At 37.7% G+C, this 13846-nt stretch overlaps 1 protein-coding gene across 3 annotated transcripts in view, besides 1 other annotated feature; it reads left to right on the top strand.

Annotated features, from left to right (window-relative positions):
• Positions 1 to 13846, top strand: part of PTPRR (protein tyrosine phosphatase receptor type R) — a 282666-nt gene that overhangs the window by 75100 nt on the left and 193720 nt on the right. The gene's annotated exons all lie outside the window — the stretch shown is intronic.
• Positions 9564 to 9764: a silencer, noted in NCBI's record as "peak1809 fragment used in MPRA reporter construct". NCBI's record gives its function as "represses an SCP1 promoter by STARR-seq MPRAs in K562 erythroleukemia cells {active_cell/tissue: K562}" and the evidence as "EXISTENCE:reporter gene assay evidence [ECO:0000049][PMID:32103011]".

Genomic DNA, 13846 nt, shown 5'->3' with positions numbered 1-13846 from the left:
AGGTCATTCTTAAAGGAAATAATAGACTTTTTAGGTTAATTTAAAAATACGGAGAGCTGGGAGAAGCAAAGGAAGGCAAAGAGAGAGATAGGATTAATTCTGGAAGCGTACAGGAGTCATCCTAAAGGGATATAAAAAAGCACTATAAATGTTATTGCTCTAAGCTCATAAAGGAATCCTTTCTAAATGCGTCCTACTGTGACTCCAACTTTTCAGTCTTTACTCTTAGATCATGTACATACATTAAGGCTCTGTCCAATGCAATCCCTAGTATGGTTCAGTATTATTTCTGTCCTTTTTTTGGGGGGTGGTTGTTTTTCTAATCAAGATAATTCCTTCCTAATATGTTCCCTTTTTTATACTTATGACTTTCTCTTGTTTTAGGGAGATTTTCCTGTGCACACCTATAAGCTTCTTTTCTCCCTCCACTTTTGTATTCTGTCAACTCTCACCCACCACTGAAACCTTCCTAGAAGGAAGTGAACATCTGCAGCCCATAAGATCTGCATTCACAGTCTTTAGAATTAGCTCCAACTGTCTTCCCTAACTTTCCAAATCTTCCTTTTTCCATGTCCAGTTCAAAGCCAGTCTCCTTTTGGAAACTTTGTTTGATTCTAACAGCCCACATAAATCCTTCCTTATACATTCTTTTTATGTATTTACAAAATATACCTGAGACTTTTACATCCTATGTATTGATTATTATTTTTGTTATTGTTGTTTTGGTCTTACCCTCAACCAAATTCTAATTCCTTGAGAGCATGAAACATGACTTATACTATATTGGTATTTTCATATGATATCTAGTGCAATGCTAGACATATATCATATGTAAAAATTGTATTGACTTTTTTACTTTCTGTAAATTGGGCACTCTTTCCATAGTACCCAGCTGAAGTCTATTGGAATTTTGTAAATGATGAACCTTAAATTCAAACTAAAACTATCATATAAGTCAAGTCCAAATATAGTATATATTAACCACAATCATCACACTGTACATTAGGTCTCCAGAACTTATTCATCCCATAACTGCAAGATTGTGCCCTTGACCAACATCTCCCCATTTTCCCTACCTCCCAGTCCCTGGAGTAACCACTATTCTACTCGGCTTGTATGAGTTCAACATTACTAGATTCCACATGAAGGTGAGATCACATGTTAGACATATATAATATTATAAACCTTCTTATGTGATATGATCAAAACTGATCATAGGTTGACTACTTGAATTCAATCACAGTAGGGAATAATAAAAATCATACACCTTTTAGTCTTATTTTATTTAGCTTCAAACACATAACCCTTGACCCATCTTTTGCATATGGATGCCCTAGTTAGTGTCATATTGTCTTTCTTGTATAAAACAGGCTCAAAATGTATCATCTCTAATTCATTTTTGGTTTCTTTAAAATGGAGTGAGAACACAAAGATACAATAAGTACCGAGTCCTTTAATAATTTTATAACTTTTCCTAGTCTATTACAATTGTCTTACCTAAATCTAATTCGATAATTTTTTTAAGCCGGGCATGGTGACTCACGCCTGTAATCCCAGCACTTTGGGAGGCCGAGGTGGGTGGATCACCCACGGTTAGGAGTTTGAGACGAGCCTGGCCAACATGATGAAACCCTGCCTCTACTGAAAACACAAAAATTAGCTGGGCGTGGTGGCAGACACCTGTAAACCCAGCTACTCGGGAGGCTGAGGCAGGAGAATCACTTGAACCTGGGAGGCAGGTGTTGCAGTGAGCCGAGATTGTGCCATTGCGCTCCAGCCTGGGCAACAAGAGTGAAACTCTCTCTCAAAAAAAAAAAAAAAAAAAAAAAATTTTCAGCAACATTTATGTCTCAAATCTTTCAAAGCTCTCAACTTAATTTTCATAGAAATAACAACAATCCACTTTTGGTAATCATATTAGTCATTCTATATAACAGTTCTTAAATTACATCAATTACAATAACAAAGATAATTAGCATAAACAGGTTTGGAAACATCTACTGACTTTTAGTAAACAGACAACTACTCGGCGCAGAATCATACAGTCTTACTAGGAGTTAATCCACTTGTCAGCAGGCCTCGGCAAGCTCTGAACTTCATTCCATATATCTTACAGAGCAATTGGAGAGTTCATTAAAGTGCACTTAACTATGAAGATAGGTTACCTTCTATGGTTGTGTAATATTAATATTGTAATTTAAGATGTTTATGTTCAGGTCCAGAGAGCCTTAGCACACAATAAATATTTGATAAATATTAGCCATTTACATTTCATGAGAAAGTTAAACATTTTTAAATGTTTTCAGTTCATAAAGACTTTTGTAGCCTGTTTAATTTGCAATCGACATTTCTGGGATAAGAGGAACCATAACCAGAGAGCATAAAGACTAACAGTGGTGAGACTGCAGAAGTCAAAGTCTAGTTTATTCCTTCTATTCATTATTTTAACAAATCAACACATCCTTTTTTCAGTGGCTGCTCTTTGCCAGCCTCTGTTCTCAGTGTGACAAAGTCAATTATACAAAGACAGACAATTGTCACTTGTCACTTTTTTGTACAAGTATGTCTTTGTTTTTTCATTTTGTGGGTGATTTATTTCAACTCCTGGAGTAAAATACTTTTCCAAACTTGATTAGAACAAGCTTCTTAAGATATCTAAGTAGTGCCTATCTGCACAAAATGTTCTAGAATTATTTCTAGCTCTTCAAATTAAATATGCTGAGAGAACAATGGTGTTATAAGGCAGAAGAACTAGATTTCAAGCAAAACAGTTTTAAATGTCTTGCTGTGGTAGGCCAAAAAATGGTGCCCCAAAAGATATCCATGCCAAATCTCTGGAATCTGTGACTATTATCTTATTTTGGAAGATGAATCTTTGCAGATGTGATTAAGACTCTTGACATGAAGAGGTCACACTGAGCAATCCTGGAAAGCTCTCAATCCAATGACAAGTGTGTTTCTAAGAGAAATACAGAGGTAGATTTGAACAGACAGAAGACAAGACACAAGAAGGAGGCAATGTGACCACAGAGGCAAAGGTTAGAGTGAAATGGTCACAAGTCAAACAATGCCAACAGCTGCCAGAAGTTGGAAGAGGCAAAGAACAGATTCTCCATTTTTGGGGGGAGGAAGCGCAGCCCTGCAACATTTTGATTTCAGACTCTGGCCTCCAAAACTGTGTGAGAATAAATTTCCTTTGTTTTAAGCCACCTATTTTGTGGTAACTTCTTACAGCAGCCACAGGAAACCAACATGCATGTCATAAATAAATGTACTAAGTATCTAACAGCTCATCTTTATGCTGGGAACAACCCAAGATGAAGCATAGAGCAGGTATTTGGGATGTCACTAAACAAACAGTTCCAAAAGAACAGTATTTGAGGAATTCAATAATTCTACAGATCTGATTATACTCATTATAATCTGTTGTGTTGCTTACAGAGAATTATAGGGAAAAGGTAAAATATAGTAATCTAAAAAACAAAATTCACAAGTCATGCATAAAAAGTCATAGCAGTTGGGCATACGTACATTTTTGTTTCCATAGGAATTGCTTTGTAGGGCTTTTTAAGAGGAAATATGGCTGTAAATTACTTCAGGGAATATATTAACATTGTTATTTGAAAAAATCTTTTGTAAAATTAAATTTGAAGATATGGGACCTGGTGCTGATATTACCTAAAGGAAATTGACAATGCTAATAGACCACCATGGAGATAACAATGGGAAGGCTTATCCACAAGGTATTAGTAAATTGTTTTCTAAGTACCATGTGCCCATTCATATATTCTCATTATGAAAATAATAATTGGGTTTTGAATTTACAGTGAAAACTAATACCATGAGAAATTAAATGAAAAAATAAAGGCTATTGCATTTTGTATTAGAAATCTCTATTAGATTTAGGAAAATGATGTCTTTACTTTTATTCAGCTTAAATAAAATATTTGAGACATTGAATATTTTTAAAAGTATTATTCTACTAGGTAAAGTCAGACTTAATGTTTACTTTTGTTCTGTAAGTTATTTTCAATTCCTATGAAAAAAGTTTTCTTACTTTACAATATTAAACATATTGTGTGCAATCACATCAGTTTTCAGCTATTTTTTATGGACTCTGGAACTCAGAGGGAGTCAGGTTGTGAGACTTAAGTTCTAGAAATAGTAACCATTCATTTCTGGAAAATCACTCAACAGAGTTGAGAGAACAAGCTGAGAAGTGCAGGATTTCCGGTCTGTAATGCAAATGAAAAAAAATAAGAAATGTGGAAAACTATGCAACACCTCTTTGGGAAATTGGAGTGCCCACACTACACTGATAAATTTAAAATCAAATCTTTTCATTTAGCATACCGAGAAGCTGTATTTTACTTTCTTGCTGATTCACAGGTGATTCAGGATAAAGCTGGCTGTTGCTATTTATGCTTTGCAATTTTTTTGTTGGGGGGGTAAGGGTAGAGTGGAGTCTGATTCTAATGCCTCTAATAGTAGTATGAGCTGGAATGGAATTTCTGACCATATGGCTTTTCTGGGGCAGGGAAAAGGTTTAGTGCAGGAAATTCTCCTGGACCAACTCAAGACTTAGTTACTGACAGTGCAGAAGAACTTGGTTGCAGGGCTGTTTTATCTCCGAGATAAGCCCAGTTTTAGACAAAAAAAAAAAAAAAGCCATAAAAACTCAAGACAGAAAGACAGTTGGTCTTACCACATTGATAATATTGGTTGTGAATGGCACGGTGACTTCATAGTATCTCTAGTGAACCTGGCCCCTGTTGTGATAATTTTGTTGGAAGAGACTATTCTGGAATGCCCTTTATCTTACCTCCTTGCAATTCAGTGAGATGTATTAATGTGCTCAAATGGAGACACAAAGATAACTCCTACCCCTCCCCATAGGGTCCCAGACCTTTCGACATAGTGAGAAATTTGCAGTAAATGTGTTCTATGGCTTTCTTAAGATGATTCATTTTTAACCCTCTCATGTGCTTTTATTCCCAGTTGTTCACTCTCTTAAACCTCTGCCCTGTGCTGGGAAAGGTCAAGTTAAAAAAGCGATCTAGCTATTATAGAATCAGAAACCCCAAAATTAATCTACTTAGCTCAAAAGTGGCTGTGATAGGCTAAATAATGGCCCCACAAAGATGTCCACATCCTAGTTCCTGGGAACTGCGAATGTGTTGCTTTACATGGCAAAGGACTGCAGATGGAACTGTGGTTACTAATCAGCTGACCTTGACATAGAAGCTGATCCTGGATTTCTGGACCCAAAGCAATCACAAGGGACCTTAAAAGTGGGAGAAAAAGACAGGAGAGGACGTCAGAATAATGCAGTGTGAGCAGAACATAGCAAGGCTATTCTGGCTTTGGAGATGGAAGAATGGGGCCACAAGACAAGAAACACGATAACCTGTAGAAGCTGGAATGAGGAAAAAAAACACTAGATTCCCCCTCCAGAACCTCCAGAAAGGAATATGGCCCCAGTGATACTTTGATTTTAGCCTAGTAAGACCGTGTCAGATTTCTGACCTACAGAGCTATAAGTTATATCTGTATTAATTAAGCCAATCAGGTTGAGGTAATTCATTATGGCAATGATAGGAAATTAATACAGTGGCAATCAGGAATAATCACAGAATCAGAATCCAGCGGCAGACAGTTACTTAATTCATGTTTTGAAATCCAAAAACATGGTGACATTTATAGGGAAGTAGTCAGGCCAAGAAGAGGGTATTAATGTTTCAGGACAGCATAGGCACTTTGGTTTTGAACGACTAGTAGTTTTATCTGGTTCTAAGAAAGAAATTTTAAACTCAAATAAGAGTACCAACCAGTATCCTGGCTCCACAGGAGGAGAGAAGCGAAGCTCTATACCTGGCCCGCATGTGAATACAAGCAGCCAGTTACCAAAAGGGGGAGCCCAGAAGCACACAATAGCCAGGTTCTGTTGGATTTATCACAAAGTTGGTAATCCACTAATAATTTCTTTTACTTGCTCTCTATGGGTGTTCTTACACCATTAAAACAAAGGGTAGTTGCAGACCATATGGATAATGTTTCATAGAATGTTTTATCCTCCTTAACTTTAATTAACTAAACCAATGCTGACACAATTACACTGGATATAATAATAGTTTTTAAATAGTCTGTATAACTTCACAAATGAAGCATATGCTGCAACTACAGAAGAAAATGTTGCAGTTGCACATTTCTAAGATTTTTCCCTTAATTTTAAGTAATATAAGTCATCTGAGTTGTAGTAATGCTGTTCAAATGGTCAATGATGTATTGGACACTTTTAACACACACACACACACACACACATATCCAGAATAAAGAGGAAAAAAATGACTGAGATGGGATATTAGTTCAGTGGCTTTACTTCATTTTCCTACAAAAATTTGTCCTGGCAGGCAGACCAGGTAGGTGGGATAGTTCTGATCTATGAGTTTATCCAGAGACCCATGTTGTCTTTCTAGCAGCTCTATTATGTTTTAGGGAATAACCCTTTTCCACATGGTTCAGCATCACAACATTCACATTTTAGTTTATAGATAAAGAAAAGAAGTGGACAGCAAACAGCTTCTGTTTGAGGTATGCAGGAAGGTGTATGCATGACCTCAGTAAACATCTCATTAGCCGGAATTTAGTTACATAGCCATAGCAAGCTGCAAGGGACTCAGGGAAGTGTAATCTACAGATTTGTGTCCATATGTTCAGTGGACACTTGGAAGATTCTACTAGTTAACAAAAAATAGAGGATTAATTAGCAATCTGGGTCCACAGAGCTAGAACAATCCCCGTTAGTCAAACCAGATTGGTCCTAGGCCTTTGTAGGTGTATCTTCCCCTGGCTTCTGCTACAATTTTCCTAATTTTGATTCATTTCTAGGTGCCCATTTACTGTCCTTGTACTTCACTCTATGTCTGTGTTTGCTCATGGTAGCTTCACTAGCCTTTGCTACCAGCTTATAATCTTTTTCTTCACTATGTTCCTGTGATATCATTTTTATTTATTTTTGTTTCCAGTTATATGCCTCCGCCATATTCTGAATTTAAGTGTTCTTTCCCAGCCAACCAAATAACCTGAAATTCCAAATAGCCCAGATTCTTCTCTTTCACTCCCAAATAGTCTCAATCAATGACCTGTGATGCAAATCATCTTTATGCTGACAGCAGACAAGAGCTTTCTCCTTTGTCAAGATGCATTAGGAAAGAATGACATCAGCAGGTCTTATGTTTTAGTGTTATTGACCTTTAGAGTAGATAAAACTAATGCTAAACAGTTAGTAGCCCTACTTAAGCAAATTGGATTGCTTTGAGACCAAATCCATGTTAGACTGTAAATATGCAACCTCATTCATGAAAACACATCTATCCTAATGTAGTGAGGTGGGCGAGTCTTGAGGACTCAACCCTCAATACATTATTTATTGTCAATATCCTTAAGATGCTTTGTGGCATTTGGAAATTTTTGTTTGTTTTGTAAAGAAATGCGGAGAAAATGAGATCCAGTCTTCAGGATCAAAGACAAGACAAGACATTTCAGGTCAATAGCTCTCTCTGTAGTAATGGTCAGCAAAAGAAATGCATAAATTGAACTTATGGTGGGGAAATCATAATATTCCACTGTAATATTGTGAAATATGTATGTGGTCTTTGTCCTCATTTCCTGGCATACAACTCATAAGATCCTTAGAATCTTCAGAGTGACAAGTATCTTTTGTATGCTAATGAGTTGACTGAAGGCTGGCAACCTACTGGTAGCTCAGGATCTGGGCTGGTCACCCAGGAAACCAAGGCAGGATTAGAGGATTGGGACTTTCAGCCCCAATCTTCAACCTCAAGGAAAGGAAGGGATCTGAAGGTTATGTTGATCACCAATGGGCAATGACTTAATCATCATGCCTTTGTAATGAAGCCTCCATGAAAACCCAAAAAGGAGTAGGCTTCCGGAAAGCTGAACATGTGGAGGTTTCTAGAGGGTGGCATACCCAGAGAGGGCATGAAACCTCAGCACTGCTTTCCATATGTCTCACCCTATACATCTTTTCATCTGTATCCTTTGTAATACCTTTTATAATAAACAAGTAAACATGTTTCCCTGAGTTCCGAGAGCTGCTTTAGAATTGATTTCTTGCTTGATGTGTGGAGGACAACCCCCACATATCTTGTGTCAGAAGCATGTTGTAAGAATGTGGTAGAAGAAATTGTTTGTTTGTTATTACTGTATTCTCAGATCCACTGAATTGAATATTTCTTTTCTGTCAGACTAGCTGATTAGTGCTTATCAAGGCAGCCAAATGGTCTCAGCAGCATGAAATATAAGAAATAGAAAAGCACTTACAGATTATATAGCTCAGCATCTTTCATTTCACTGACTAAAAGCCACATCCATGGATGTGAGGAAATTTTCAGCTGGGAAAGCCAAAAGTGGAACCAGATGTGGATGCTCAATGCAGTGTACAGTATCTTGGGTTTCTATTGGGTCTACATTTATACCCACAATTTCTTTTATCTCTGCTTGCCTTTTTTTTAAGCCTTTTGTTCCCAATTGTATTCTGGCTTCATTGACCTTAACAGACTTCTTATTTGGAGTATTATGCTTTATACATTTATATACCTTAAATATTGCAAAATATTTTAAATAAGATAATTTTTCTTTAGAGAACTTATAGTTTAGTGATAAAATATATTACATGTATAATCAGCAAGATAAATGTTTACATAGAGGTTTATTCAATTAATTATATATTGAACACATACTGTCATTGAGACCAGAATGGTCAATAACATTCTCTGAATGTGTAGGCTGTGTAAGCATATAACTGGGGAAAACAGTCTGAGAGGTTAAGAAAAGCTTCCCTGATAAAGTAGCAGCTGGTGAAATCTGAAGGGTGAATAAGAGATAGCCAAGCAAAGAGTGGGAGTGGGAGTGAGGAGTGAGAGTGGAGATCCAGAGAGACTTCAGGCTGAAGAAATAGCATGTACCAAGGTCCTGAGGCAGCAAGGAGCATGCACTTTCAAGGTCAGTGTGAGTTGAACATAGTGATCCTAATGGAAGAAGGGCAGGAGAGTGATGAGAAGGGGCTAGATTACATGGGGTATGGTTGATCATGTTAAGGTTTTGGACTTTAGTCCAAAACAATTTTTTGATTTGTGGTGATATGTCCTATTTCTGCAGAAGTGCAGCAAAATTATCTAAGCTTCCCAGAGAGGGTAAAGAAAACATTTGTAGAAGGTGTAATGTATGCATTCAGATTTAAAGGAAAAATAGGGCGTTTCCAGGCAGGCAGATGAAGCAAGAGCACACCAGTCCGAGAAAAAAAAAAAAAACACATGTCTTGAGATACTGCCATTAGAATTGTTCCCAGTTCATAAGCAGAGAGGAAAAGATGAGATAGCTCTGGTAGGCAGGGACCAACTCATACATGCCATTCAAGGGTGCCTGGATTCTATCCTGTAGGTGATGAGAAACCGCTGAGGTTATCTGAGCTAGTGAATGACATCACCAGGTTCAAGTATTAGTGGAGTCCTTCTGCAGCAATGTGGAAGACAGGCTACAGACAGGATGGCCAGTGCAATGGGCATCCCAATAGGAAAGAGAAGATATTGGCCAAATCTGTGGGAGCAGTAGTGGAAAGGGGAAAAAGGGGACAAGTATGAGGGAGAGCTTGTTAACAGAAGTATGACTTTATGAACCAGAATGGCCACCTCTGCAAAATGTTAGCTAAGTAGGAGTTTACTGAGCTACCGTTTCAATGAAATAAGTGTACTGGGGAGAGTAAAATAAAAATGAAAATATCTGGGCTCACTTTCCCCAACAATTAATCCACTTATGTTTATAATGAAATGTTTATTTTATTAAAATTGATATTCATTTTGACACATCTGAAATTTGAAGAAAAATCAAGAGTCAAGGTTTTACTTTTCTAGCATGAAAGCTTGGAACTAGAAGTTAATATTTGTCTTCAGTACCTAGAGAGACTATTAAAGTAGAGAAACATGTGTGCTCTACCAGTTTTCTTTACCATGTGCTCAATACTTTAGAGTCAGTTTTTAATCAGTGTTCATGGAATACATGAGTAGCTTGGCTGGCAGTGTAACAATATCTCATGATGATATTGAATACTCACCAGCCACTTTCTATGTACTTAATAGGTATTCAGGCCATATCTCTCTGCTCAGTCACCATCAGTTATTAAATGGAACATAGAGTACACAGGAATTATACCTGAAACTGCTGAAACCCTATTTGAATCCTAATCATGATCTACTATAAATAATAATATTATACTATAAGTGAATTTATAGTAATCCCTTAGCACTAATTACAAATTACTCAACACTAATTATAAGTAAGCAATTGCCTGACCTCTCAAATAGCAATTTTAAGTATACAAAGGGCATTTATGCATATAGTCTCTTTTAATCATAAAAGCAATCTCAAAAGGTAGGCAGAAACCTACAATACCTTCTTAATTAATTATTTTTAATTATTTTCCTCTTACTTTGTTCCTGAGTCTGAAAAGTTGAAGAGAAGTACTTATTTATCTCACAAGTTTTTATGGGAGCTATTATCCCATTTTACAGAAGAGAAAGTCCACTTGGGAGAGGTTAAATGTCTTTCTTAAGAGCATACAGTGGTGTAAGAAGGGGTAAGTATCAAACCCAAGTCTTTGATTGTAAGTCAATGCTCTTTTCATTAAATCATCCCCACAACTAATCGTAGACATATTGTTTGACTCTAATGTAACTTTGAGCATCAACTACTTCCAATAAGAGATGCTAGAAAAATATTCTCTAGCCAGGAAGGCAAATGATCAGGATGCCTTATCTGTAGAATGATAAATACTGCCTCCTAGAATAACAATATGATTTTTCTCCTTAAAAATGCTCTTTTTGAGAGAATTACTCTGAAAGATTACCTGGAAGTAACTTCCTTCTACTATTCAATAATTACATATTGAGTGCCTGCTGTGTCCTAGGCATGATTCTAACCATGGAATAAAACAGTTAATAACATTCTCATCATTTGAACTCTAGTAGTTTGAACCACTAAAATAATGAAATATGAAATATTGAAGTGAATATTATGAATATATTTCAACATGAGATAATGAAAGCAGTTTCTCTACTGGATGCCAACACCAAACTCATTTGAGAAAGTGAGCCAATTTTGCATTTTGCGTTAACCATGTTATTTGAACAGCCTGACAAAATTGAACAAGGGAGATCTCAAATGTGGAAACTTTCATTTAGGTGGTCTAAGAAATGTGGGGATGTGCAGTGGCAGACAGCTCACAACATTGTCATTCATGAGGCTTTGCTATACAGATATACAAGCTTGTCACCATAAATATGGAGCAAAAGCACACAGCCCTGTAAAAAATAAAAACTTAAAATGAATAAAACATTTTTTAAAGATTACATAAGCAAAATGTAAATAGATTTATCTCTAGAAATAAGTTTCAGAAATGCTGTATGGTTGCCATATTCTAAAGGTACTATGTGTCCCATAATAACAGCAAAGGTGTCTCTGGTGCCCCAGTGCTAAGCGATATTTTCAGTTAACTGTAGCCCAAGCCCAGGAGGCTGTTATCTATGGCAAAACGCAAAGTTCCTGTTCCCTACAAATGTGCCAGGGCAGATTCAGAAATCAATAACTGTCTGAATATCTAGAAAGCCCACTGATAGAGTCAGAGCCAAGATCATTGTAGGCCCTTTTAAAAGTGTGATAAAATGCCTGGCTGGGGCTGCCTTTTGAAGAAGAATTGCATGGGAGGGAATGAGCAGCCCAGAAAAACTTGAAGTTCTTTATGTATTCAATACATGTCATCTGGGGCCTTTTCAGGGACTATTACAGATGTCACACTTAGATCCACCAGGAGTCTTTCATCAGGTTGCCACATACAAGGTGAGCTTCCCGCTTGTCAGCTTCGATCCAAACCATTGCAATATGCAGGCAAGATGAAGAATTGTTTGTACCCACCAATTGAGGCTTATGGTGGGATTTAAGTCTCTGAGGAACAACAGTGATCGGAGTGAGACTACTATGTCTTCATTAATCTCACAAGTCATCCTCCTCTGTTCTTTACCTTAAATTGTTGCACTCCAGCTCCCATTCCCAGGCTGTTTCTCATTTGCTCCCATGAGTTCAAGCTCACCTTTACACTGATGTCTTCCAGCAACTTTTCTCCAGCCCACCTGGCTGTCTAACAAGCACAAAACTAATCAAACACTGAATTCATCACCTCCATTTTTACCCCCACCCACCACTCCAGCCTACCTGTTCCTGCCCCTCTTGTTATAGTCTCAACAAATGACAGGAGCCAAGACCCACCTTTCCAACCTAGAAATCTGAGTGGCAACCTCTATGCTTTCTTATCCCTCACTACCATATTGAATCCATCACCATGTCCTGCTTCTTTTCCTGCTACTTATCTCTAAAGTCCATCTCCCCTCAAAGTCCCTGCCTCATATGGTTAGGATATTTGTTCCCTCCAAATCTCATGTTGAAATGTGATCCCCAGTGTTGGAGGTGAGGTCTGGTGGGAGGTGTTTGGGTCATGGGGGCAGATTCCTCATGAATGGCTTGGTGCCCTGCCCATGGTAATGAGTTCTTGCTCTGATAGTTCAAAATAGTTCAGATAGTTTCTGAATCTGCCCTGGCACATTTGTAGGGAACAGGAACCTTGTGTTAGTTGTCTAAAGGAGCCTGGCATCTCCTCCACTCTCTCTTGCTCCCACTCTCACCAAGTAGCATGCCTGCTCCCCCTTCACCTCCCACCATGAGTAGAAGCTTTCTGAGTACTCACCAGAAGCCCAGTCAATGCTGGTCCATGCTTGTACAGCCTGCAGAACATCAGCCAAATCTCTTTTCTTTATAAATTACCCAGTCTCAGGTATTCCTTTGTGGCCACACAAAATGGACTAACACACTGCCCATGTTCTGTTCTCAACATGATCCCTGGGACTGTTGTGATATCCTCTTGGTTCCTATCCCCACCCCAGTTTTCTCCTCTTAGACCACCTCTTAACCATTCTAATATAAATGTAAATCTAACCATGTCACCTGCAAGTAAGATGCAAGTGAATGTCTAGTCCCATTTCCTGCTATTCCCCACTAAGCACTCACCACCCTATCACATCAAATGACTTGAATTTCTCCAAATGTATCATGTTCTCTCTAGTTCCCTTTACCTGAAATGCCCTTTATCCATAATATTTTAAAATTAAGATAGCATTTAAAAATCAGAAGATTGTACATTTTTAAAAACCTGAATGTTGACCTTCTCTTGGAAAAAAACTGATCTAGCAGCATAGAGCCTGCTTCCCCATACAGCAAAAATTGGGCAGAGCTTTGGGGCAGCAGGCCCAAGCCCTACTCTACTTACATACTTGTCTAGCCACCAAAGGTATTTAAATTTACAATCCCTGACCCAGAGAAATGCAAAAGCTCACAAAATCATTTGTTAATGCATCACAGAGCGTCCAGCATATGGAGCGACAGGAACACTATGCCATAAATGAATAGTGCTGCTTTAGTGATCAGGAAATTCTTCTCTGTTATTCTTACCTATTCTAGACATTGAGAGTAACAAATTTGCTATGATAAAGTTATATCTATTTAGACCCTGAAAGAGAACACTGAAATGGGGAAAGCGATTTTGTTTCAGAATGTGAACATTAAAACTAGACCTGTTGGTGAGTAAAAATTGGAGCTCCAGGCTTTAATATAATTAGAGTGCTACAAGAAGAACCCCTCAGTTCAAGCGGCAAGCTCTATGTTGGCAGACTTTCTGACCTTAAGAAAGGCTTTAAGATATCTAGGAGGAGTAATGAGGATG

The sequence above is a fragment of the Homo sapiens genome, chromosome 12 (genome assembly GCF_000001405.40).
Source record: "Homo sapiens chromosome 12, GRCh38.p14 Primary Assembly".
Classification (NCBI taxonomy): Eukaryota; Metazoa; Chordata; class Mammalia; order Primates; family Hominidae; genus Homo; species Homo sapiens.
Note: the sequence above shows the minus strand (reverse complement) of the source record. Positions and strands in the feature narration are given on the sequence as shown.